General features: G+C 50.7%; 1 protein-coding gene and 1 long non-coding RNA gene across 11 annotated transcripts in view, besides 6 other annotated features; one reads left to right on the top strand and one right to left on the bottom strand.

The window, feature by feature from the left end:
- Positions 1–20,282, top strand: part of KIF6 (kinesin family member 6) — a 395,419-nt gene extending 375,137 nt beyond the window's left edge. For 4 of the 10 annotated variants that reach the window (NM_001289020.3, NM_145027.6, NM_001289021.3 and 1 more), the window contains 4 exons: positions 3,746–3,796; positions 4,483–4,572; positions 6,457–6,563; positions 13,724–20,282. In NM_001289020.3, coding sequence (NP_001275949.1) covers positions 3,746–3,796; positions 4,483–4,572; positions 6,457–6,563; positions 13,724–13,740 — 265 coding nt within the window. In that variant the 3' untranslated portion in view covers positions 13,741–20,282. Of the gene's footprint in view, positions 1–3,745; positions 3,797–4,482; positions 4,573–6,456; positions 6,564–6,835; positions 7,683–13,723 lie in introns of those variants that run through there. The other 6 variants (XM_011514358.4, XM_047418331.1, XM_005248904.5 and 3 more) reach the window with 4 other exon arrangements.
- Positions 4,932–5,433: an enhancer, noted in NCBI's record as "H3K4me1 hESC enhancer chr6:39312615-39313116 (GRCh37/hg19 assembly coordinates)". NCBI's record gives its function as "activates a minimal SCP1, AML or CMV promoter by ChIP-STARR-seq in naive H9 embryonic stem cells {active_cell/tissue: H9 hESC(naive)}" and the evidence as "EXISTENCE:reporter gene assay evidence [ECO:0000049][PMID:30033119]".
- Positions 6,108–6,945: an enhancer, noted in NCBI's record as "H3K4me1 hESC enhancer chr6:39311103-39311940 (GRCh37/hg19 assembly coordinates)". NCBI's record gives its function as "activates a minimal SCP1, AML or CMV promoter by ChIP-STARR-seq in naive H9 embryonic stem cells {active_cell/tissue: H9 hESC(naive)}" and the evidence as "EXISTENCE:reporter gene assay evidence [ECO:0000049][PMID:30033119]".
- Positions 6,928–6,977: an enhancer, noted in NCBI's record as "active region_24492". NCBI's record gives its function as "activates an Ori minimal core promoter by ATAC-STARR-seq in GM12878 lymphoblastoid cells {active_cell/tissue: GM12878}" and the evidence as "EXISTENCE:reporter gene assay evidence [ECO:0000049][PMID:35858748]".
- LOC105375047 (uncharacterized) overlaps positions 7,571–26,417 on the bottom strand; it is a 28,746-nt gene continuing 9,899 nt past the window's right edge. Inside the window, exons 2-3 of the long non-coding RNA XR_926774.3 lie at positions 11,594–11,759; positions 7,571–7,633 (exon numbers count right to left, since the gene is read on the bottom strand). This is a non-coding gene — a long non-coding RNA (uncharacterized LOC105375047). The remainder of the gene's footprint in view (positions 7,634–11,593; positions 11,760–26,417) is intronic.
- Positions 10,252–10,753: an enhancer, noted in NCBI's record as "H3K4me1 hESC enhancer chr6:39307295-39307796 (GRCh37/hg19 assembly coordinates)". NCBI's record gives its function as "activates a minimal SCP1, AML or CMV promoter by ChIP-STARR-seq in primed H9 embryonic stem cells {active_cell/tissue: H9 hESC(primed)}" and the evidence as "EXISTENCE:reporter gene assay evidence [ECO:0000049][PMID:30033119]".
- Positions 14,030–14,109: an enhancer, noted in NCBI's record as "active region_24491". NCBI's record gives its function as "activates an Ori minimal core promoter by ATAC-STARR-seq in GM12878 lymphoblastoid cells {active_cell/tissue: GM12878}" and the evidence as "EXISTENCE:reporter gene assay evidence [ECO:0000049][PMID:35858748]".
- Positions 20,030–20,109: an enhancer, noted in NCBI's record as "active region_24490". NCBI's record gives its function as "activates an Ori minimal core promoter by ATAC-STARR-seq in GM12878 lymphoblastoid cells {active_cell/tissue: GM12878}" and the evidence as "EXISTENCE:reporter gene assay evidence [ECO:0000049][PMID:35858748]".

The following is a 26,417-nucleotide window of genomic DNA, read 5'->3' as shown; positions in this document are numbered from 1 at the left end:
CCACATTTTGTAATATTTTGTACAAGGCGCTTTCTTTATGTGCTTCCCACCACCAGATCCTCCTGCCTGGGGTATCCGCTCTTCCAATGTGTCCACACCGTCTGATTTTCCCAAGAGGCCAGGATTTTTAAAGGGTAAAGCTGTGTTTCCTTAAAAGGCCAACCTTCTAAGGTGTGGAAACCCAGAATTCCCTGTGACTGGCCCTTGCCATTTCAGCTGAGAAACCCAGAGTTCAGCCTCCCCATTCTGTAAATGAGGACACTGAGGCCCCGAAAGGGAATGAGATGCTTTAACTCTGTAGTTAATAACACAAAGAGCCACAAATTAGGCCAGGGATGATGGCTCACACCTGTAATCCCAGCACTTTGGGAGGCCAAGGTGGGTGGATCACGAGGTCAGGAGTTCAAGACCAGCCTTGGCCAATATGGTGAACCCTCATCTCTACTAAAAAGACAAAAATAATTAGCCAGCCATGGTGGTGCGTGCCTGTAGTCCCAGCTACTCAGGAGGCGGAGGCAGAAGAATCGCTTGAACCCAGGAGGTAGAGGTTGCAGTGAGCTGAGATCACACCACAGCACTCTAGCCTGGAGACAGAGCAAGACCCTGTCTCAAAAAAAAAAAAAAAAAAAAAAAAAAAAAAGAGCCACAAATTAAACCTAGACCTTCACACTCCATGGCAAGTGCCTTTTCTTCCTTCCACCCACTGCTCCCCCTGCCCTCTGCCTGCCTCCTTCCCTCCTCCACTCGCCTCTTCTCCCATCCCTCCCTCCACTGTCAGCTCTGCCTATCTCTATTCCTGCCTTACATCCCCCTTCTCCTTTTCTTCCTCCTCTCTGCCTCATTCCCTTTGTCATACTCCCTTGCAGCCAGGGCTGCCTCTTTACTGCTTGTTTGTTGATCATGCCGCTGCCAGCCTTTATCCGCCGGCATCTCCGAGAGAGTCCATGGTGGAATAGGTCTAAGGAGTAGCCCCTGGGCAAGGCCTCCAGGGACTGTCTGCTGTGCCACCCATCAGAATAGTGCTCCTTCCACCTTGTCTTGGCCTTGGGCATTCCTGGAGATTCCTTAGGTATTCCAACTTAAGATGATTCCTGGATGTGCTTGCCTAGAGACCTTTAACCCTGCAGTCGAGAACCCTGGACTTCAAAGGTGTGTGTCACGTCATTATTGACCACCTCCAACAAGTCCCCTTTATTGAGATTTGAATCACATGAATCCCAGTCATGGCCCCTCCGACAGCACACCCTCGGGCAAGCCAGCTCCCCACTTTGGGATTCCCTTGCCTCATCTGTAAGATGTGCAAAGGTCCCTCCGACACGGTCACTCTGTGAGCAGATAAATGTTGCCCGGTCAGTGCCCGGTCAGAGCCGCCAGGGTGAGAGAGCGAGGGCCCAGCGGCTGTTGCTGCCCGAGCTCCAGAGCGGCTGCTCCTGAGAATTGCCGCAGGTGGGGAACTGGGGGTAGCGGGGCGCTGGTCTTCTGCTCATCAGGTTCTGAAAGAAACCTGATTCATCACTTCCCCAGGGATGCTCAGGTCCTGGAAGCTGATCCCACTAAACACTCTGATTGGCAACCCAGAAGGCCTAATTACTATTAATATGGCTTATTAATCCTTATTAAGGAAGATACTTCATTCTGATGGCTGGTATGTTCTCTCTCCAGAGGGGCGTCAACATGAGAAATTAATTCGGTGTCAAAGGCTGGTTGGGCAAAGGGAGAGGGCAGAGGTCATTTATGGCATCATCCCCAGAATTACAGAAACCAAGCTGTGGCATCCAGGAACAGGATGCTTGAGCAGCTTACAGGTTTGAGGAGTCATTTCCCTCGAGAGCCCCCAGCCTTCCATTGCACTGCCCTCCTGCATGAGGTGGGGCAGCTGGGCCTCCGCAAAGAGTACTAGATGCCCCTATTGGCCACGGTGTGATCGTGCCCTTCTACCCTGCCCCATCCATCTCTCCATCCTCTTCCACCCCCTCCCACCTTTCAATAGTTTGGCACCTGTGAACTCTCCCTGGAACCTGAGCCAAGGCTCCACTGGGAAGCCACTGAGTGAATGAGCCATTTTTGTGCCAGTGCCTTGGTCTTGCAAATTTGCTACAGCTTCCAAACTGACCTTGACCCGTTGTCATGAAAGCACTTGCAGGATGGAAAGCCCTTTCTCCTTCCCTTCTCCAGGCTGCACCAGGAACCACTCAGCAGGAGCCTTGAGAATTGGTTACTGTTCTCTGAAGAAAAGCGTGCAGAGCCTGCCACCTGGTGGCTACCTCTGGTCCTACATCGGTCCTCACTAGACCCAGCACAGGGATCTCTGCTTTCCCACCATGAAGGGCACCTCGTGGAAAGTCTCTCCACTGCTAGGAAATGGACATTGGTGGGTGAGGGGGGGCTTCCCCAGGCTCTGGTGTCTTTTCTTGCTTGTTTGACCACAGTCGTGACCTATGGAAGCAGCCTTGCCATTGGCTGAGATCGGAAGGCGGAAGGCCAGAGCCGGGGAAGGGGCCATACTCATGAGTGAGACACGCAGTTTGTCAGGTCTGTAGAGTACCTTGGACTGAAGATGCAGACTCCGCGGAGCCGGCTCACCTGTCTCTAACCCTAGCCTGCCTCTCAGCCCAAGTGTCCCCAGAGTGTAAAAGGAGGGTTGTACCCAGGTGACTTCTTAGGCCTCTTCCAGCTCTGAGGTTGTCTCCAGGCAGGAAGCGAGGAAGATCTCCTTACAGCACAACTTAGAGTAAGGACCTTGTAACCACAGGCATGTGGAATACACTGGCCTCCAACCAGCCGTGTCCACGCGCCTCTTCACCTCCCAAGAGGAGCTTCTGGGTTCCACTGCACTTGGCCAGGAATCCAAGGCAAGGCGCACATGTCAGCAGCCTAGGTGAGCAGGCACAGCTGCATCTAATGAGCTGTTGGATCTGACTCCTCTCTCAGCATGAAGCTAGGTCCCAGGGGCAGGCAGTGTGGTCAGGGGTAGGCCAGCGTGTGTTCCTAGAATGCCACAGAGTCAAGCCCAGTTAGAAGGCATTGTGGCTGAGAGCACAGGTTCTGAAGCCTCAAAGAATCCTGAGTAGTTCCCGATTCTGCCACTTACCAGCTGGATAACTTTAGAATTTCTTTAATCTGTCTAAGCCTCAGTTTTCTCATGTATAAAATGGAGACGATGACATCTACCTCTTAGGTCATTGAGAGGATTAAATGGCATGATATTTGCAGAGCACTTTCACGAAGCCTGGCGTGTCTATCAATGACAGTTGTGGCCATCGTTTGTTGTTCAGCTGCTACAGCCAACAGATGCATGCTCTAACAATGAAAATTACTGTGTAGGCCGGGCACAGTGGCTCACGCCTGTAATCCCAGCACTTTGGGAGGCCAAGGTGGGTGGATCACCTGAGGTCAGGAGTTCAAGACCAGCCTGGCCAATATGGTGAAACCCCATCTCTACTAAAAATACAAAAAATTAGCCAGGTGTTGTGATGCATGCTTGTAATCCCAGCTACTTGGATGGCTGAGGCAGAAGGATTGCTCAAACCCAGGAAGCGGAGGTTGCAGTGAGCCAAGATCATGCCACTGCACTCCAGCTTGGGCAACAAGAGTGAAACTCCATCTCAAAAAAAAAGAAAAAAAGAAAATTACTGTGTAAACCATCCAAGACAGGACTCTTGGCTCTTGTCTTAGTCTGCTCAGGCTGCTATAACAAAATACTATAGACTGAGTGGCTCAAACAACAAACGTTTATTTTTCACAGTTCTGGAGGCTGGGAAGTCCAAGATCAAGGCACTGGCAGATTCGATGTCTGGTGAGGACCCCCTTCCCGGTTCATAGACAGCTGTCTTCTCGACGCATCCTCACATGGTGGAAGGGGCAAGGGAGCTCTCCAATGTCTCTTTTATAAGGACTCTAATCCCATTCATGAGAGTTCTACCTTCATGACTTAATCACCACCCAAAGGCCCCACCTCTACTACCATTACATTGGAGATTAGGTTCAACACATGACTTTTCAGGGACACAAACCTCCAGTCCGTAGCACAGCAGATTTAGTTCCTGCTGAGGGCTTCCTTCCTCGCTTGCTGGCACCTCCTTCTTATTGTGTGCTCACATAGGAGAGAAAGAGAGAGAGAGAGAGAGAGAGAGAGAGAGGGAGAGGGAGGGAGAGGGAGAGGGAGGGGGGGAGGGAGAGGGGGGGGAGAGAGAGAGAGAGAGAGAGAGAGAGAGAGAGAGAGCACTGTAGTTTCTCATCCTCCTCTTATACCTATAAGGACACTAATCCCAGTGCAGGGGCCCTACCCTCAGGACCTCATCTAAATCTATTCACCTCCCAAAGGCCCCACTGCCCAATGCCATCACACTGGGAATTAGGGTGTCCACATAGGGATTTTGAGAGGACACATTCAGTCCATAACAGCTCCTAGATATAAACCCTGAATTTCCTTCTATAAATTTGCCCCCATTCCTTTTGCTTTTGTTTGTTTGTGTTTTGCAGTGATGTGAATGCCAGGAAAATCCTGCCCTCGCCTTGCCCCAGTCCACACAGCCAGAAACAGAGCAGCACCAGCACCCCACTGGAAGACAGGTCTGTGGTCTTCTCCTGTTATGCCTGTGACAGCCCCTGCAGTGGGCGGAGTGGGCCTCCATCTCCAGTCTACTCCCCGAAAAAGCCCCTCGTCCAGTAGCCACACAGACAGAACCCAGGTCTGGCCTCTGCCCTGGTCCCCTGGGAATTCCCTGGAATCTCTCACACAGGCCAACTCAAAGCGGGGAGGTTTTCTCCCACAGTCACCAGGGCCCTGTGTTGGGCAGAGTTGTTTCATATCTTCTTGTGAATAGACGTACCTGGGGGCCAGAAAGGGAAAGAGCCAGCCCAGGGCAGCCCCACCACAGAGCAGAGCAGGGAGCTGACAAGCCTGGCCTGAAGACCCAGCAGCATTTGCTTCCAGGCTTACCAGAGTTGATCAGCACCATGGGCATTTGTATCCTCCGGCTAGAATGGCTGCTCAGCCTCTTTCACCAGCACAGCCTCTGCCCTGCCTGCCTGGACTCTGCTTTAGTGCTTCCGGCTGGCCTGCAGCGGGAAAGCCAACACCCAAACTACCTGCGGGAATGGCCAGCCCCTTGTTACATACCGTCCTTACTGCCTTCTAAGGAAGTGGCTACCACCTCCTGCTGTGCAGAGGCACAGGGGTGAGGATGGACGGAAAGTTGGCAAGGCCAGGCAAGTGTACTGCTCTGAGTTTGCTGAAGGGGAATGCTATATGGAGAAGCTGGATGGAAAAGGGGATGGGGGAGGGCACACACAGCCCTCCCTTTCTAAGGAGATTCCCACACAACACTTCTACTTACAAATCTCATTGGCCAGCACCTGGTCACCCGGCCACACATCGCAGCAAAGGAGTCTGGGAAAGGTAGTTTTTTTAGTTGTGGCAACTTAGCTAAATATGATTCTGTTTTTAAGGAGAGACAGGAGAACAGTAATCTCTGCCTTGAGGTCAACTAGCTAAGCCACGTGGGGAATGAGGGTGCTCTGAGGACACAGCACTGAATGATATGACATCTAAGCTGGGCACAGAAGTTGATGGGCCCCAGGTTAAGGGGTGCTGGTTTGGGTAAATCAGGGATGGGAGGACAAGAGTGGTGGTGGTAAGAGGATAGAGAAGGCAGCGAGAGAAAGCACAGCCGCCATGTGACGGGTGGTGGGGAGGGCAGTCCAGGGAGAGGAAGCATCAGAGCAAAGGCCCTGAGGCTGGAAGTGGCTTGGTAAATGCAAGTCACTGAAAGAAAAGGGGGCAGCTGGAGCCCCTGACCCGGGGTCATATCATACACAGCCTGGTAGGTCATGGGACAGAGTTTAAGTTTTATTCCATGAGTGGTGAAAAGCCACTAAAGGGTCTGTATTAGTCTGTTTTCACACTTCTGATAAAGACATACCTGAGACTGGGTAATTTATAAAGAAAAAGAGATTTAATGGACTCACAGTTCATGTCACTGGGGAGGCCTCACAATCATGGTGAAAGGCACGTCTTACATGGTGGCAGCCAAGACAGAATGAAAGCCAAGTGAGAGGGGAAACCTCGTATGAAAACATCAGATCTCATGAGACTTATTCACTACCACGAGAACAGTATGGAGGAAACCGTCCCCATGATTCAGTTATCTCCCACCTGGTCCCTCCCACAACACGTGGAAATTATGGGAGCTACAGTTCAAGATGAGATTTGGGTGAGGACACAGCCAAACCATATCAGGGTCTATGGCAGGGAATGACTTGACCCAATTTGCATGACAAGAGGCTTAGTGTGGCTGCCACACAGAGAAGGTAGGAGGGAGTGAGAAGCAGGCCAGCCGTGTCATGTAGCTTTCTGAGTGAGATCAGTCACCTAAAATGGAAAAGCATTTTGGAAATATAAGTGGTGAGTCCAGTTGTAAAGTGTAGTAAAATGTGACACGTGGTTGCCTCCAGCATCCCCAAGAGGCCAGTGTCGTCCATCCCTCTCACCGGAGACAGCCAGACGGACTCGGACATCATCGCCTTCATCAAGGCCAGACAGAGCATTCTGCAGAAGCAATGTAAGTGCACCTCCCTCGGTGGCTCCTCCTGGGCAGCAGGTCACCAACACTTGTGGGGAGCACACAGTGAGGTGGGAGGGGAGTAGGGAGTTTCCTGCATATTCCTGAAGCCACAGGACTGGCCTGCCTGTCAGTCACATGTGCCCAGCCTCTGATTCCTTCTCGAGAAAGCCTCAAGGGGCAGCATCAGAAACACCAAGACAGGCCCAAGTGGGTGGGCGGCCCAGGTGCTCCTGTCCCTCTTGGCAGAGCTTGCTCTCTGTCTCTTCCAGATCTTCAGCTCCTTTGTTCTCTGTTCCCAAAGTCAGCTGTCTCCTCTGCTCAGGCTTCTACAAACAGGAAGGGGCTGAGTGATGTTTTGGTAACTCGTTGAACCCCTGGCTTAAAGTCTCACTCCCCTATCAGAGTGTGGTTCTTGCCAAAGAGCTGTGAGTGTAAACACTGCTTGAAGGCCCAGGCCCGAGGACACCATAACAATCACAGAGGAAGTAAGAGTGGCGTGTCAGACAACAGGAAGAGAAGAAGGCTCTTCTTGGTCTGCATCACTGCCCCCTCCACCCCCAGCCCCGTCCTCTTGGCAGCTGCCCATCTCCCATCTGCTGTGGCTGGGCCTTTTCTCTTTCTGCCTTCCATCCCCAACACACCCACAGGGCAAGCCCCAGGGCCCCTTACCCCAGGCCTGCATTTTGTCTTAGCCTCCTCCCCATAACCCAAAGGCTACTAGGCAGGCTTAACATTGCCTTCACATTGCCAGAAAGGCGCCCCCACCGTGATGGTATGGGCTGGCAGATTCGATGTATAATGACTGATGCCTGCCCTGTGGCGCCTGCACTCAGCTTCTCCACCAGCCGTGTGCAGTTTGGGCAGGAAGAGGTTTGTGCATGGATGGAGCGCCGCAACTGAGAGCCGGCCTTGGTCCTGTACTCGCCTTGCTTGGCCGCCAGCCTGCTTATTTACTATCCTCTCTTCACCACCAGGACCAGCAGCCTCAGCAACACTGTCAGGTCCTTTCTTAAGCCTGAGACAGCCCCACCTCTGCTGTGATCTTGTCTCATTCTCAGTTTCCTTGTCTAAAAATAAAAAAAAATAAAAAAAAATAAAAAAAAATAAAAAACTGGATTCAGTGATCTCCAAGTCCCCATCTATGCCCCAAATACTCTGATGATAGGTATCAGGCACTGAACAGCAATGAACAGCCAATCAGTCAGCAAACACTGTATATGTTGGGTGCCTTCTTATGCCAGGCACTACTACTAGTGCTGGTGCTACAGCAGAGAACAAGACAGAACCCAGCACGTGAGAAACTGACATTCTAGGGGGAGGAAGGAGACAGACAATGAACACGTCGACAAATACGTAAGATTGTTTGAGGGGATAATAAGTGCTATGAAATAGCTAAACTATGTAATGTTGTAGACAGTAACTGGGAAGACTGCTTTTAGCTGGGTAGGTTGGGGAGGCCTTGCTGGAGAAGATAACTTTAAACTGACAGCTGCATCATGAGAATGGAGCAGCTACGCCGCGTTCTGGGAATGCACAGTCCTAGCAGACAGAGCGGAAAGCGAGAAGCCTGAAGGGGAAGCTTTGCTTGGCCACAGGGTGGGAAGGAAGCTAGAGTGGCTGGAGGGCAGGGAGCAAGAGCACAAGGGCCAAGTCACACCAGCCTTATGCACAGGGGAAAGAGATTTGGATTTTATTCTGGATAGAGTGGAAGCCCACTGAATAATTTTAACCATGGAGTGATATGATGTGATTGATGCTTTAAAAAGCTCACTTTGTCTGTCACATGTAGTGTAGATTGTAGGGGCCAAGGGTAGACCAGTTACCAGGCTACCATGAAAGTGCCAGCAAGGGATGATTGTGGCTTGGACTCACCAGTAGACCAAATATGAGATGCAAGAGAAAGAGGAGAGTCAGGGCACCTCCTGGGCTTTTGATCTGAGCAGCGAAGAGAATGGCAGTGCCATTTACTGAAATGAGAAAGGCAGGGAGGCATGACCATCAGAGGCAAGGAGCTGGAGGGATGGAGAGTTCTGGCTGCCCTTTTTGAAGTTTCAGATGACATTTGATGTCCAAGAGGAGGTGTCGAGTAGACAGGTGAGCATCAGTGGAGCTCAGAGAGAAAGTCTAAGCTAGAAAAAGAAATATGCAAGTCATCATGTCTGGTTGGTGTCTGAAGCCACAGGACTGAGTACAATGTCCTCTGAAGACCAGAGATGGAGGTATTCAAATTGCTGAGAACAGCCCCCTGGGGTTCTCCAACAGTTGCGGAGAGAGAGGAAGCAGAGATGCTGAGAAGGCACTGCCAGGGTGCGAAAAGGAACAGCAGATAAGTGGGTATGGCCTCAGGCACAAGCTGGAGAAGCACAAGCTGGAGAAGCACAAGCTCCAAGGGGAGACGGGCCAGTAGAGTGTGGCAGGATGGAATGTGGACCACTGGCCATTTTGCATGTCAGGGTGATCATGGACAAGCACCATTTAGCCAGGGGACTGGGAGTGGCTGGGGAGAGGGTGGAAGGGAAAGAGGCTGAGGCAGTGAGCAGATACAACCCCTCCAGGGGGTTGAGCAGTGACAGGAGCAGAGAACTGGGCTGGAGCTAAAGGGAAGCAGGAGCCCAGAGGGATGCTTTAAGACATGCTCACGTGCTGAAACATGCATAGAGAGGGAAACTGATGCTGTGGTGGGAGAGGGGAGCAGAGCTGCAGGAAAAACTTCCTTGAGAAAGTAGAGGGGACAGTGTGTGGGGCACAAGTGGAGGAAGGCTTGGATACGCAGGATATCCTTTGAGCTGAGATATCCCTTCCCCTGTAACAAATCCATAGAAACCAACCATCATTCCTCCCCTCAAGAAGCCTACAAGCAAGCAATATCTTTAAGTTACATTCACTAAGCTTTTGTACATATAAGAGATGTGATCATCTAACTCTCTCCAAACAGAAGAGGCGGAAGTCCAGGTCCCTGTCAGAGTGGTGTCCTCCTGCTAACACTGTCCCCAGGCAGTGCAGAGAGCTGGATTGAAGGGCAGGCACTTTTATTAAAATATGTATGGCAAACTACCATTTATAAATGTTTTCATTTTTATTGTTTCATTTGATGCTCTTAACGCTCCTGTAAGGCATGCAGGGCCAAGATTATGATCCCCTGTGGACAGGTGAGGAAAGGAAACTGAGGCACACAGAGGTTGTATCACTTGCCCAAGGTTACACAGCTGATAAATGGCAGAGCCAGCATAACCCAGGTTTTCTGCTCTCTCCCCACTGGGCCACACTGTCTTGAAAAGCTGCAACTACCAAGATATGCCCACTCTGCTGTCAGGAGTTCTCTCGGCCTCAGGAACAGGAACCAGCATTGACGAGGGGAGTGACCGCAGCCTCTACCCACCCTGCAGCTGGGGAGCTTTGCTCTCCAAATAAACAGCAGCCTGGAAGTAATTCATCAAAGCAAACAAAACTTCCACAGCTCAATTTTTATTCCGAAAGGAAGAATATTCATTCTGGCTTTTCAGTGACCACGGGGCCACAAAGGAAGCCAAAGACAGGTTGACACGGGGTCCCTCTGCCACCAGGTCCCAAAGGGCCAGCAGGCGTGACCTCTCAGACATACAGCAGATGGTTCTGGTCCCACCATGTGGCACTTAATATGCAGCCCACTTATCAGGGCACCCAGGCAAACACACAGGCCGGGGCCCAGGCACCTTCTCAGCCAAAGCAAACACCTCCCTCTCCCTGCCTGGGCTCTCGAATCTTAATTTAGCTCACAGCGCTGCCTTGGTTACTTCAGGAGTGCTCATTAAGGGGAATTTGTGACTGTCAGCTCAGGAGCAGGAGCCCAGAGAGGGCAATTTAACATAAGCCTCGCCAGCTCTTAGGCTTCACCAAGGGCCAGGATGAATCTATTTGATTTAGGATTCATGGAACAGCATGGAATGTTTAAATCCCTGCCAGGGGCAGGCGTGGACAGGTATATAACACCCGTAAGGGGCATCAGTCATCCGTGGAGTCAACTCTGCTGTTTCCAACTGCCAAGGACAGTTTTTATGTCTGAGGAAATGAGGTTAACCCCTTTCTAGAGGGCCTTTTTGTTTTTAATCTTGCTTAATCCCTGAGTTTGGAAGTATTCCCATCTGGAAAGGAACCATGGTGCGACCCCCATAACCACAAGTCTGTCTTCTCCAAGAGGTGTTAGGAAGAGGTCCTGCCTCTCCCAGCCCTCCAGCCCCACTCAGAGAAACCCTCCAGCTCTCTTCTGTGTTCAGAAACCCTCCCAGGGAAAGAGAAAGAGCCCCGAGCTGGGAGGGAAAAGGCGGAAATTCCAAGGCCATCTCTGCTCTGCGTGACACTGGGCAGGTCACCTCCCCAAGCCTCCCTCTCACTGTCTGTCATGTACAGATTCCACCCTTGCCCAGGCTCTGATCCTTTCCCAGATAATCTCCATTAAAGTCCCTTATCAACTCCCAAGCACCAAGGAATTATTAACAGGGAAGTGGCCTCTGTGGTGAGAGCTGGCCCAACACCATGAGGTGTGATTTTGCTTTTTCTTAATGGTACATCTGTAGTGTGCCCTCCTTTCTGGGAGCCCACGGTAATCAAAACCCCAATACAGACAGAGCTTCATCACTTAACTGGGGCCCATAAAGTGAATGAGTTTGAAATGGTGCCTTTTGTGTTGAGGTCTGTGCATGTAAGGAGCTATGTCTTGGGGCAGAGCGTGCTCTCCCCCCTATTCTGTAGCATTTCTTCCCAGGCCCCACCCCACCCACCCCCTGTCATTACTGCATGCAAGTGTGTGAGGGGCTCAGAGACCATCCTGGGTGGGAGATGGCTCAGACTCCATGCTCCCTACCACCGGCAGCGTTCACAATCCTGGCCCAGGCTGCATTTCAACAGTGCAGCAGAAACATCAGAGCCCAGATCTCATCAGCAGCCACGTGCCCACGGGCCCCCAGCTCTTGCCCTGCCAGTCCTTGTACTAGAGAGACAAAAGCAGTGAGTTTCAGCCATGGCCATGCCTCAGAATCACCTGGACCCACCCCAGTGATCCTGACTGAATGGTTCTGGGCTGTGGTCTGGGCACCAGGATGTCTAGAGATTCTCCAGAGATTTCCGTTGTGTAGCAGAGCTGGGAACCACAAGTCCAGAGTGACAGGAACACATGACCATCATAGGCTCGGTGTACTTGTCTTCTTACTTCCCGTTCTAGAATTCAATTCAGACAGATCAGAATGTCTTAAAAATAAGGACCATATTTGTTTAATTAAACAGCAAGGCCTGCCAGAGGTCTTGCACACAGAATTAGAACTGAAAGACCAAGGGCTCACAGCCGTGAATTATTTCCAATCTCTTCCTCCGCACTAGCTGGCCATTCAATGTATCACCAAGAATTACCCTTTCTTCCACAGCAATATCAAGCCAACCAAGCTAACACTCGTCACCCAGTACCAGGTTCCTGTGGCCGAACCTGGAGGGCTGCAGCTGCCTGCTCACCTGTTCCCTGAGCAGCCTCACCCCTCAGGCTCTCTGTCCACTGAAATTTTTTTAAACATTGTATTTATTACTTCATCCAAGAATCTCAGAAATTCTCTCTTGCTCTTACTAAATTAGCCAAACTTTAAGCAAAATAACTGCATATCACTCTTACCAGTTCTCACATTTTAATGTGCTAATGAATCGACAGGTTTTGTCAAACTGTAGATTCTGATCCAGTAAGTCCAGGGTGGACCATGTCTTAGACTCTGCCTTTCTTAACAAGCTCCCTGGAAATGCCAGCACTGCTGGTCCATGGACCACATTTTGTGAAGCAAGAAGCCACCTTGCTTTTTCCAGGTATCTCATCTGCTCCAGCAAAGAGAAATGTTAGGCCCAGAGAACTGACATGACTTGCCCAAAGTCACACCGTGGGTTGGGGACTGTCCTGGCTAGAACGCAAGGGCCCTGGTTCTCAATCCAGAGAACCCTCTCCATGCCCAGCCATGGGAGATGACAGGATAGGGGCCACATGGTCAGGAGGAGCCATCCTGGAATATAATTAATATCTGGAGGAAAAAGCAAGGAGAGAATCTGAGGATTAGGTAGGAGCATCAATGAAAACCATGGGGTTGTCCAGGTGTGGTAGCTCACACCTGTAATCCCAGCACTTTGGGAGGCTGAGGTGAAGGATCACTTAAGCTCAGGAATTTGAGACCAGCCTGGACAACATGGTGAAACCCCATCTCTAGTAAAAATACAAAAATTAGCCAGACGTGGTGGTGGGTGCCTGTAATTCCAGATACTTGGGAGGCTGAGGCAGGAGAATCACTTGAACCCCGGAGGCAGAGGTTGCAGTGAGCCGAGATTGTGCCACTGCACTCCAGCCTGGGTAACAGAGCAAGACTCCGTCCAGAAAGAAAAGAAAGAAAAAGAAAGAAGGAAGGAAGGAAGGAAGAGGGGAAGGGAGGGGAGGCTGGAGGGAGGGAGGGAAAGAAAAGAAAGAAAAAGAAAGAAAGAAAGAAAGAAAGAAAGAAAGAAAGAAAGAAAGAAAGAAAGAAAGAAAGAAAGAAGGAAGGAAAGAAAGAAAAGAAAGAGAAAGGAAGGAAGGAAGGAGGAAAGAAAGAAAGAAAGAGAAGAAAGAAGAAAGAAAGGAAAGAAGGAAAGAAAGGAAAGAGAAAGAAAGAAAGAAAGAAAAAGGAAGGAAGGAAAAGAAAGGAAGGAAGGGAGGGAGGGAGGGAAGAAAGGAAGGAAAGAAGGGGAGAGAAAGAGAGAAAGAATGAAAGAGAAGAAAGAGAAAGAAAAAGAAAGAAAGAAGAGAAAGGGAAGAAAGGGAAGAAAGGGAAGGAAGGGAAGGAAGGACAGAAGAAAGGAAGGAAGGAAAAGACAAGACTCCAGCCTCGGTGACAGAGCGAGACTCCATCAAAAAAAAGAAAGAAAGAAAAGGAAAGAAAACGGTGGGGTAGGAAAACAGGCGTCAGTCTCAGCCTAGGGAGATGGAGCTTCTGCAAAGGGCAAAGGGGGCCTCTTCCTTCAGAGCTTGGGGTATAAATGCAGCTCCTGGGAGGCAAGACACAGATGCAGTGCCCAAGACCCAGGGGGAGTGGCTGGTGGCCTCCCCTCCCCCCGATTCAATCCTGGGAAAAGTCAGTGTCTGCATGCACAGCCTAACCAAAAGCATCCTGTCTCCCTTTCAGGTTTGGGAAGCAATTGAATTTCCAGGAAATATCCATCCATGAATTATGCCAGCAAGAATGAAGCACAGATGAAGGCAGCGCCCCTCACTTGCTCTGGCTTCAGAAGTGAACTATGGGCTGCTGGGAGCAACTAGTGACTTTGATTCCCATGGAGGGGACTGTGTTTCTTTAAGGATGCTGACCTGGAGGCCACCGAGAGGCTGGGGCTGGGGCTGACCACAACATCCTTCCTGTGGTTGCTGGAGCTGCTGGCAGGGCCAGGCAAGGCCAGAGTGCTAGGGGCAGGGTGAAGGCTTCAGCTCACTGTTGTAGTGACGTTTTGTGTAGATCTTTATAAGCTTTTGAGAATGTGAAATAGCACCATCAAAATATAATGTCAGAGGATGCTCACACCAGTGGAATGTGGGGGGAATATTTTTATTTTTAACGATTTGCCAGCTCTCTCCCTTGGCCCGTGCTCTGGTTTGGAAGCCCAGAAATGGCCATGACAGGTCCAGGCAGGATGTCCCAGCCACAGGCAAGGCAGTGGAATGCAGGGCATCCTGAAGGCCAATCCTGATCTCCCAGACCACATCTTTCACCATCAGCCTCTTGGCCAGGATGACCTGGAGGCAGTGCCTGAACAGCTGTGTCTCCAGGGAGCCATCTGCCCTGCAGGGTCTAAGGACATCATAGCACCCAGAGAACAGTGGGCAGCTCCCAGGGGCTCTGCTGAGAGCTTGAGAGAGGGCAGTGTGGGTACCTTGGGCCTCACAACCTTCACCCAGCCACTTGGGAGGATTTGGGCTGACACTCCCCACTTCCACAGGGAAAAACATAGCTGCCTGGGGGTCTTGTCTCCATGGGCCCTCTCCATGACAGATCCAAGGGAAGGTGGGCAGCCCTCAAGGAGGTTCTTGAAGAACTGCCCCCTGGGCCAGGGGGTTCCAACCCAGCTGCAGCCAGGGAGGGGCAGCGGAGGGTGAGCAGGAGTGGCACCTGGAAATGAAGCTAACTGGATAAAAGTGCTGGTCCACTGCTCCTGGTGTCTCTGTCCTATAAATACAGGACCTGATGACCCTGGAGGGGAGCAGAGTGGTAATATAGTATAATTGGCTTGATTTTCTTTTTCGTTTTTTAGGACTGGGTAACAGGATCATGCAGGAGAAGATTAAACCATTACATTTCTAAGCTAGGCAGGCCCATCGAGCTCCTCTAATCCACACCCCTATTTTATATAATTAGAAGGCCAGAGTGAAGGGGAGATTCAGCTTGCTGTTCTATGCCACTGACAAATGTCCCCTCTTCAGGGGGCTTCCCCTGACCACTCCATCTCGAGTCACCCCCTAGTTATCCCCTATCCCATTACCATTTTTTCTGCATCACTATCTGACATGTTATCCTTCCGAACTTGCCTATTTTTGAAATACCTGCAACCCCCCATAATACTAAGAGCTCCAATGCAACAGGGACCTGTTTGTCTTGCTCATTGCTGTGTCCCAAGCACAGAGTCGCTGTTCAGTAAACGGTCCTTCAGTTCATGAGTAGACGAGCCAGAACCCAGATGTGTTTCTCAGGCTGGTGTCACTCTGACTTCCCCCAGGCTCTGACTGAATCCCATCGGGACAGGGGCCAGCATCTCTGGTCCACTCCTGGCCCTCACAGTTCAATGGAACATAGTAAGCCCTCTGTAAAGTCTGTAGAACCAGAGGAAGACCAAATTCTGATTCTAGAAGCCTCCCCAAGAGTCCATGGAACACACATGTAACTGCACACACACACACACATACACACACACACTCTCAAGAGCCCTGAAGATGGCATGGCATTTGCCCCAGTCCCCTATGTAGCAGCAGCAGTATTCTTGGCATGCCTTAGTGCCCTCAGCCCTCTAGAGCTGGGTAGAGTCTACTAACTTTTATTTTCTTTTATTTTTACTTTCTTTTATTTATTTTTTGAGATGGGGGGGGTCTCTGTCAGCCAGGCTGGGGTGCAGTGGTGCGACCATACCTCACTAGTCAGCCTCCAACTCCTGGGCTCAAGCCATACTCAGCCTCCAACTCCTGGGCTCAAGCGATCCTCTCACCTCAGCCTCCAAAGTAGCTGGAACTACAGGCATGCACCACCACACCTAGCTCGTTTTAAATTTTTTGTAGAGACAGGGTCTCACTGTGTGGCTCAGGATGGTCTCAAATTCCTGGCCTTAAGCGATGCTCCCGCCTTGGCCTCCCAAAGTGCTGGGATTGCAGGCATGAGCCACATACCCTGCCAGAGTCTTTCAACATTAGATCTCCCACTGAGACATCATCTCCTGGATCCAAAGGCCTTACTGACAGAGATGTGTGGCATGGCCCCATGCGGGGTGTGAACCAGCCTCCTGGGGCAATCACTAAGACAGGAAAGGAAATGAAGACAGAAAAACACACAACATGGGATCTGGGGCCACTGGTGTCCAGAGCATATGCAAAGTGTGTGCAGCAACTGGCCAAGGGGCCTTTTGCTCCGAACATCCCCTAATGGAAGCCCAGCCTTTGATATGGACACATGCTTGACAGCAGTGCACCTTCCCAGAGTTCACTGGCCTCTGCAAATGGGAGAAATTGATGCAATGTTTTGAAAAGACTTTCCAGCAATCCACCTGGGATCAGTGGAGCCACGGATGACAAGAAGTATCTGAGTTCACTCTAGGCCAAAATGTGGGATTTTCAAAAACATTTTCTGGAAAGCAGCCTAGCCAGTGACTCCAGCCCAGTCCCTGCTAGAATTCAACTGGCTCTACCAATCCCTTGACAAGAAGTAGGGTGGACGGAGGTTGGAGGAGGGAAGTTAAAATGTAGCTTGCCCAGATCTTGCTAAAAAGGAGTTTTAGAAAGCAGATAGAGAAATTGTGGTATACTGAATACATCATTTTAATTCTTCACCACCAGTATAGAATTACACATCCAAAGCTTTGTCATGGCCCACTTTGACTAATGTGGTGTTGGCAAACCTGATCCAGGCAGAGGCTTGAATTGTGCTCTCATGGTTGAGCTTGCCTCTTGCTCCAGTGATCTCTCTTGGGATGAACATGCCATGGGTAGCTGCTGCCCCTTCAGCCTGGAACATCCAGAGAGCAGACCTGAGCCCAGTCTACAGCCTGGAGCAGAGCCTCCCAGGCAAGCCCAGCCCAGATCAGCTGAACTATGGCTCACCCAAAGACCTATTGGCATGAGAATATATGCTGCTTGTCATAAACCACTGAGGTTTAGAGTGGTTTGTTATATAGCATTAATTGTAGCAATAGCAGACTGGCACAGAAATTGGAACCCAGAGACAGTATATGACTGGATCTAGGATTTCTCAGTGCAGAGTTCATTGTCTCTCCATGCAGCCTGTGGAAAGGCACTGAGAGCATCCTGTATATGGAAAAGCAGGACCACCACCTACAGCCATGATGAAGCAACAAGGACCTGATTTACCCTCCTGCTTTAAATGACTAAAAATGAGACAAAATCCTCTATACAAACCAATGGTTTTCAGCCATTGGATAACAAGCAATATAGGGTATGATTGATCCGCAAGAGAAGGGAAACAAGTGAGGGGAGCCCTATGATTGCTCCAACTTACTGCCTGCAGTGAGTTTTCAGGCTGCAGCCCAGGAAGGGGGAACCAGGTAGAGCCCAGTGGTTTCCCTGAGTTGAGGAAATGGAGCTGGGAATCCAGGGAGGACAAAGTGGCTTAAATTTGCAAGGCAGAGTCCCAGGGATGAGAGAGAGAGAAGGAGAGAGAGAGGAGAAAAAAGAGAGAGAAAGAGAGAGAGCATGCTCTGGAGATCTTCAGAGGGTTACCCTTGAGTCTTCAGCTAACTACCGATCAACATCTGCATGTGAAGAAATTACCCAAGGCAGGGGAAAGAACCACCAGGAGGAAGCAGGTGGAATAATTTCCTGAGATAACACTGTGTTGGGAAGAGTTCATGTTTCCAACAGCCAGAGTGGAGAAACCTCCCAAAACAGTCATTGTATAGAGACACATAAGGTACTGCCTCAGAAGTGGGGCCAAATTAGTCCTAGATGATAGATTGCTCTGGTCCCACCTAACAAAGCTTAAAAAGCCAGCCCCAAAGGAGTCAAATTGTTTCCAGTAAGTTTCCAAGTAACTTCAATGAGTCCCAAAACAAAGCTTCAAAATATCTAAAGGAATATGAAAAACAAACCAAAAAGAAACCAGCATCCAACAATATAGAATCCACAATGTCTGGTGTCCATTAAAAAATAATCAGGCATGCAAAGAAGCAGGAAAATATGGGCCATGAGAGGAGAAAAAACCATCAATAGAAATAGAGGCCGGGTGTGGTGGCTCACTCCTATAATCCCAGCACTTTGGGAGGCCGAGGCAGGAGGATCACCTGAGGTCAGGAGTTCAAGAACAGCCTGTTCAACATGGGGAAACCCCGTCTCTACTAAAAATACAAAAAATAGCCGGGCATGGTGTTGCGTACCTGTAATCCCAGCTACTCAGAGGCTGAGGCAGGAGAATTGCTTGAGCCCAGGAGGCAGAGGTTACAGTGAGCCGAAATTGTGCCATTGCACTCCAGCTTGGGCAACAAGAGTGAAACTCTGTCTCAAAAAAAAAAAAAAGAAAAAACAAATAGAAACAGCCCCAGGCATGGCACAGTTGATAGAGTAAATAGACAGAAACATTTTTTAAAATGCAATGGGTGTGTGTTTCAAATCTAGGCAGAAAAAATGCTCCTTGTAATTCCTTAAACATAAGCATGTCTCATTCATCTGGTCATTGTTTTGACAAGGATGTGCCATCCATTGTGCTAAGTTCTGAGGAGTCAGAGGTGACAGAGACAGAGAAAGTGCCAGCATTCTTGGAACCTTCTAACGAAGGAGAGGGACAAGCCAGGCATGGTGGCTCACGCCTGTAATCCCAACACTTTGGGAGACTGAGGCTGGCGGATCACGAGGTCAGGAGTTTGAGACCAACCTGGCCAACATGGCGAAACCCCATCGCTACTAAAAATACAAAAATTAGCTGGGTGTGGTGGTGCGCACCTGTAATCCCAGCTACTCTGGAGGCTGAGGCAGGACAATCACTTGAACCCTGGAGGCAGAGTTTGCAGTGAGCTGAGATCGTGCCACTGCACTCCAACCTGGGCAACAAGAGCGAGACTCCTTCTCTGAAAAAAAAAAAAAGAGAGGGACAATAAACAAGTAAGCAAGACAATCTGATTAAGAAGGAGTTGGGGTTAGCTGGGCATGGTAGCAAGCGCCTGTAGTCTCAGCTACTCGGGAGGCTGAGGTGGGAGGATCCTTGAACCCAGGAGGTTAAGGCTGCAGTGAGCTGTGATCACACCACTGCACTCCAGCCTGGATGACAGAGCAAGACCCTGTCTCAGAAAAAGAAGAAGGAGTTGGGGGTGGGGTAGGATGGGCTTGGACTCACTATCAAGGTGGGTGGGAGTGTGAGAACCCGGCAAGGTGCAAAGAGAGAAGCAGGGAAGGGAAGCTTAGGACAATGATGGCAGGTTGGGTATTGGGTGATGGGAAGAGGCAAAGGACGTGGAGCTTGGCAAAAAGGGGACTTGTGGGGATTTGGGCCATGTGAGCATGTGGGGGAGACAGTGTTCCTTCCATAACACGTGTCCAGGGACTGCCAGGGCTCCGAGGCAGAGCAGGTGTAGAGAGGTTGGCTGTGAATGTTGGATGTTGAAAACATATGTGTCAAATGTGGGAGGAAAAAGCAGTGTTTCCTTGAATACAAGCTCCTCCTCACCTTGCGAAAAGTGGCCTCTGAGTGTAGCCCTGAATGCATCTCCCAAGGAATAGGAGGAAGCAGCAACCTTTTCAGAGTTAACTGCTTTATTTGGGTTTTCCATGGCCTCGTGCCAGCCAGCAGGGCTGAGCCAGTTTCACCCACACTGAGAGGGAACTCAGCAAAGAGCAAGCAGCATGCCAGCTGGTACTCTTCCCTCTCCATTCACTCAGCTCCTGATCTCAGGAGGGCAGCCCCTCCCCAGGCCAGCACCCCTCCCCTTCTGGCCCCAGGTGTGGGATGTTGTTGTTTTCTTTTCTCCGAAACATCTCCTGGGTTTGTCTTTTCCATCACTGTCTTTAGACTGAGGCAAGCAGTCCCCATGCCTTCAGCCCCATGTTTTGGGGGTAACCTGTGCTTTGACATGCTTTGCTAAAAACTTTCTAAGTCTCCCTCTGGTGCTGGGACCAGCCATGACCAACAACGTCATCCATGCAGGCCACCCCTAACATAGTCCAGGCCTCATGTGGGTCTCAGTTCCCTTTTCTTCTTTCAGGAAGTTCTCCAGTGCATGCATAGGGTTGACCAGATGTCCCAAGGTGCTCTAGGACTTATGCCTATGAAGCTGTTTTAGGGCTTCCTAGTCAGTCCCTGGTTCCAGGAAAGCAGCCTGATGAGGAGATCATTCCCGCTGGCTGGTGTGGCATTTCTTTTATGGCACTACCTGGGATTGGGCCACCAGACCTGCGCTAACATGCTGATTTGATGGACTCTTAACATCATAGGACAAAGAATCGTCATGTGAACCAATTAGACAATAAACAAATGCCTAAGTGCCTCTTCTCTGTCATTATTCTAAATCTACACAAATCAATCATTATACCTCACATGGGCTCATGAATTTGGTACTAAGTTTTTTTCATCAAATTGTTTATACACACAGGGGTCCATCCACAAAAAAATATTTGCCAGGACCCTCACACACCAAGAGCAGCTGGCCCTGTCTCTCCTCTGGTTTCTGGGCTCAGTATCTCTCCCAGGCCCTGGGGACGCTCTGCTCCTCCCTGTCTCAGCGGCACCCCTCATCTACATCCTGGCTCACAGCAGCCCAGGCTTCTTGCTGCTGCTGCAGCTCCAATGACTCTCAAAGCTATGGGTTTTTCTTATAGTCTGAAGAGGTGAGGGGATGTAGGGAGATTCATTAACAGGGGATGGCCAGCAGATCTTTTAACAATATCTTTCATGGCCGGGCACAGTGGCTCACGCCTGTAATCCCAGCACTTTGGGAGGCTGAGGAGGGTGGATCATGAGGTCAGGAGTTCAAGACCAGCCTGGACAAGATGGTGAAACCCCATCTCTACTTAAAATACAAAAATTAGCCAGGCATGGTGGCGGCTGCCTATAATCCCAGCTACTTGGGAGGCTAAGGCAGAGAACTGCTTGAACCCGGGAGGCAGAGGTTGCAGTGAGCTGAGATCGCGCCACTGCACTCCAGCCTGGGCGACAGAGTGAGACTCCATCTCAAAATAAATAAATCAATAAAAACAATTTCTTTTTTCAATTTGAGTGGCCATCAAGAGATGAGGGTATGGTCTTCCCACTCTTGTCATGCTTCCAAGGGCACCGGCCTAATATGCCAGGACAAGCTGACCACCCCTTCATTAAGGTTCACAGAAGAGCAATTTCCCTGCAGGAATGACAAAACCACAGTGACCCAGACAAAGGAGTGGAGAACTAGAGCCTGTGACAGACAGTGTCAGTACTCTGCCAGATCCCCCCAGCCCGCCTGGAGGTCACATGCAGCACTTGTGGAAAGCCTCCATCTATACCAGTAGCATTCTGTCCTAAGCACCTGCATCTTTCTACCCACAGGGACTCTCTGGCCGCAGGAGTGCTCTCAGCCCACAGGCAGGGCAGGCTGGCAGTGCAGGAGTTAACCTCCCCAGGAGCAATCTTCAATTAACAAGGGACAAGAGTTGGTAGATAAACACCCCAGCTTCCTTGCCACTCTGTGGAACAACTCTACAGTGTGTTCTGCACAGTCTCCCAGAGGTCCCCAGCGGGATGGGGCCCCAGTTGCCCGCAACAGTCACCTGTGCGAAAACACACCCTGAATCGACTGCCTTCTGTTCCCCACTCCCCTGCTTGCGCATCCTGGATCAGGTCCCAGATGAACCACGCACACCCGCATTGTGTCTTGGGACCTGCGCTGAGGGAAGTCCAACTTAGACAAGGGCATCCATTTCAGAATTACGGGTAAGGGCTCTTGAAATCACACTCTCTGGGCTGGTGGAAATGGGAGCCCTCTGCCCCTACTTCAACCAGAGCTCCACTCTTAAGTAGGCTTCAGATTGGGGCTCTGGGAAAGATTTCATGTGCAAGAGGAATCCTGCTCCTTAAAAAAAAGAAAGATGCAGTTTCTGAGCAAAATTAGTAACAGGTGTGTTTGTTTGTCTGTTTCAAGGCTTTACCTTGAATCACCCTTCAGCTTTCCCTGGTCTGTCTGCTGGTCACAGCACGAGCTGGCCCACCTCTGAGATCATACTCACGAGGACACACAAAGACCCCTACAAACCCGCGCCACCGCCGCCTCCACGTAGGACGCTGTGGGGGAGACTCCGGGAGCCCAGGCTCCCACATCGAAAGCTTGCCGCTCCAGCCACGTGGTGCAAACTATCTGGGGGGCACAGTTAGGGAGCTGGCATCTAAAACCAGTGCTCTCTGTCTCCACTTGCCCTTTCTACTACAAGGCACACACCTGGGGCAGGTGGGCCTTATCTTCTCCCCTGTGTTCTGGTTTGGAAAGTGTCCTTTTTCACCCATATGGATATGTCTATTGAGGGGCTCCATAGCGAATACCTATGTTGATGGTGGGATGGGCGGCCTGTCCAGTCCTTATCTCCAGGCTCGTTCAGATGGAAAGAGGCTCGTGCCCAGCTGCTCTGTTTACTCTGCATTCTCTGCCCATTGTACACCAAATCGATTGGGCAGATGGGGAGGGGGTGTTGTTTTTCTTCTTTTTCCCCAATCTCCTTATTAGTTCAGCCTCAGAAAGTCCCTTATCACCTCCGGATGTCAGGCCACACTCTGTCATCAGGCCTGGCCATGTCAGGCTCTCCATTAATTGATTTTGCCCTCCCCCTTGGGAAGCATAAATTGGCTCTGCCCATTAGCAGCAATAATTCCCTGAAAGGGATTGTAAATCATGCCTGGTGTCCACCCAGAGCTCACAGCAGAGTAGTGCCCACGTAGGGAGATGTTGGACAGAGAGGTCTCTGCAGCCCTGCAGTTTTTCTCCTAATCTTGACCAAGCGCTGACCTCACAAGACCACAGTGGACTAGGAAGAGTAGCTGAATCAGGTCCCAGAACATGGAGGGCGCTCAGTCAGTGTGTGTAGAATGAGTTAAGGCAGGAAGCGAGGGAGGCAGGATGGGAACATCCTCTCTGGTGCAGAGAGCTTTTATCTTCTACAAGCTCTCTCTCTCTCTCTCTCTTTCTCTCTCTCGCTCTCCCTCTCTCTCTCGCAGTCTCTCTTTTGTTCTCTCCTCCTTATTACAAAAACAATTGTTGCTTGTCCTGGACAGAAAGGCCACCGTATCTGCCACGGCGAGTGCCTTCCAGGTGGTACCTATATGTGTGATGCCCCCATCCCCTGGGCTGGGGCAGGTCAGCTGAGGGGGCTGTTTGATCCAAGGCTGGGCCATCCTCAGCCCACCAGACACCTGTAGAGTAGCCACCATGAAAAGGCACTCTTGGGCACTTAGTCCATCCATAAAGGATTTAAGCCAAGAGATACCAAGATAAAGAAGCAGAGGGCAACGGGCATGGATCTGACCAGATGCCAGGAGGTCAGCCAGGAGTGGAGCCCCAAGGCAGAGAAACGGCAGACGGGAAGCACCTGGGGCGAGTAGAGAGTGGTCAGGCCAGGCTACTGGTGGAAAGCTAGGAGGCTCCAGAAACCTGGCTGCTCCCCAGTTCCTACAGCACAGTCTGTGGGCCTCTTGAGCTGAGATCTCCCCCAAAGTCCACCATTATGTTGCCCTTTCTGTGGCTTTTGTGGCCCTAGGGTTTTCAGAAGTCCCCCATTAAACTGAACATGCTTCTGAGAAAGACTCTATCCTAAACCCCAGCCAGGTGAAGTCTTATTGGGCTTGGGTGGTTTGTGAAAAACTGATGTAAGAGGGAGATGTGAGGGTGTGACCAGAAGAGAGTAGAGAGGCAGCAGTGGAGAGAAAGAGCCAGGAAAGGCAGGAGGAAGCTGTGCTGGCTGACTTTCCCAGAACATGGTAGAGTCTCAACAGATAGCCCCAGCGCACAGTAGGTTCCCAACAGATCATTCATAAATGAATGGAGTGTCTGCCCACAGTGAGCCTGGTACACTTCCTGCCCAGGACCTGAGGGAGGGAGGGCACCTTGATGGCTGATTCATCCCTCCCTCTACCCCAGCCCATCTCAGACGTCCCTGTGGCCCACTACGTTCATCCCCTTCTCCCATGCAGATAGTCCATTCTCTTTTCCTTCGTTTCCGTCCCCCTTAGAACAACCGTCATTACCTGTGGACTGTGTCCAGACTGCTCAAAGATACTCAGTGCTACAGAGTTACTCAGTCCTGCCTGAAGCCCTGCAGACATCCACGGATGAGCTTTCTAAGTGATACACGAGAGAGCTCTCCATGTATTGAGTTTCTCCAGGGCAATCGAATAGGGTTTGACTCTCACGCTGCCTTTCAGATTTAATTCTAACTCTTGCTTAAGCCAGGAGCTGGTGCATCTGTAGCAGAAATGAGTGCCAGCACTCTGTTGCCCCACTGATTCCAGATGCTTCCTTCTCCCTCCAAGACAAGCCCACATCCCAACAAGGTGCCGTCTGGGAAAGCTCCCGGACCATGTGAAGTGGGGCTTGCACAGAACCACTTCAGAGATCCCCAGATGGCCTCAGAGGATTCCAGAAGCAGCAGAATTCCAGAGAAGGTGGGCTCCATCACACCACCCCCAGACAGGGCCGTGCCTAAGCCACAGGGTGGACAAAAGCCTGCAGGTTTGTCACTGCGTCGGGACATTCTTAATGAACAGCCCACACAATGTGGGCTCCACCTCCGCTCACTGTGATTTGTTGTTGTTTGGTTTTTAGCAGAACCCTATGTTACTACCAATCTCTTGATCACCCACATACCTGAAAAATAATGTCTCCCTCTTGCTTTTATCTTCTACAAGGTCTCTCTCTCTCTCTCGCTCTCCCTCTCTCTCTCGCACTCTCTCTTTTGTTCTCTCCTCCTTATTACAAAAACAATTGTTGCTTGTCCTGGACAGAAAGGCCACCGTATCTGCCATGACAAGTGCCTTCCAGGTGGTGCCTACATGTGTGATGTCCCCATCCCCTGGGCTGGGGCAGGTCAGCTGAGAAGGCCGCTTCATCCAAGGCTGGGCCATCCTCAGCCCACCAGACACCTGTAGAGTAGCCACCATGAAAAGGCACTCTTGGGCATTTAGCCCATCCATAAAGGATTTAAGCCAAGAGATACCAAGATAAAGCAGCAGAGGGCAATGGGCATGGATCTGACCAGATGCCAGGAGGTCAGCCAGGAGTGGAGCCCCAAGGCAGAGAAACGGCGGATGGGAGGCACCTGGGGCGAGTAGAGAGTGGTCAGGCCACGCTGCTGGTGGAAAGCTAGGAGGCTCCAGAACCCTGGCTGCTCCCCAGTTCCTACAGCACACAGTCTAATTACCAGAAATACCTGGAGTGTGTTCTGATCCCTTCCAACTCAAATAAGCCTTGAACAGTTTTTTAAAAAGAACTCAGGCCGGGCTCAGTGGCTTACCCCTATAATCCCAGCACTTTGGGAGGCCGAGGCGAGTGGATTGCCTGAGCTCAGGAGTTCAAGACCACTCTGGGCAACATGGTGAAACCCTGTCTCTACTAAAATACAAAAAATTAGCCACGCATGGTGGTGCGCAACTGTAGTCCCAGCTACTCAGGAGGCTGAGGCAGGAGAATTGCTTGAACCCAGGAGGTGGAGGTTGCAGTGAGCTGAGATCATGCCACTGCACTCCAGCCTGGGCTACAGAGTGAGACTCCATCTCAAAAAAACAAAGAAACAAACAAAGAACAACAACAAAAACTCATAATAACAATTGGGAAGTAACATAATACCTAATGGTGGCTGAAACAAGGTTTATGTTTTCAATATAAAAAGAAATCTAGAGAGGAGTGTGCAGGAATTGGTCCAGTGTCTTTGCAGTGCCCATGACCTTTCCCTCAGGGACACAAGATGGCTCAGCAGGTCCAGACAGAAAGAGGCAGAAATGCGGGGCCAGCTGCAGCTGAACCCTTGGTCAACAGACAACAATTTTGCCCAAACCTCCTCAGCCAACTCTGCCCAATCATGGCTGGACCTGGGCACGTGGCCAGCCCCAGCTGCAAGGGAGCTTGGGAAAGTGGGTGCAGGGGACGCTTCGACCCTGGGGTCTCCTCCCCAGGCTTTAATGTGTTTTTCTCCCAGTGGCCTAGCCTGCACCTGGAGCTCTCCTTCAGGGGTCTCTCCACAAGCTCCTGGAGCCATCTTTCCTGCACGTGCGCAAAGCCAGAAATGCATGAGTGACGGACTAATGTGGGGATATGAAGGCCCAGGTCCCCTGCTGGGACTCACTGGGGTGCACTTCACCTGCCAGAGCTCCCAGGAACCAGGCTGAGGCTGGGACTGTGGTGCCTTGTTTGGCTTTCTCCTCAGCCTGGCCCTCTTGCCCACTGTCTTATGGGTCTTCAGTGACTTCACTGCTCTCAGGGGCTGAGACAGAGGGGAGCAAGATTAGCACTATGACTTAGACCAATTATGCTCAATTACCTGGGGTTAACACTTACAAAGCCGGGGTTCTGCTAGCTGGGGAGGAGGGAAAGGATACTCAGCAGGCAACTCACAGTGTCTGCAGCCACAGCTCATTAAAGGAAACAGCAGAAAACACAGCAGAGATATTG

The sequence above is a fragment of the Homo sapiens genome, chromosome 6 (genome assembly GCF_000001405.40).
Source record: "Homo sapiens chromosome 6, GRCh38.p14 Primary Assembly".
NCBI lineage: Eukaryota > Metazoa > Chordata > Mammalia > Primates > Hominidae > Homo > Homo sapiens.
This window is presented reverse-complemented; position numbering and strand designations above follow the sequence as displayed.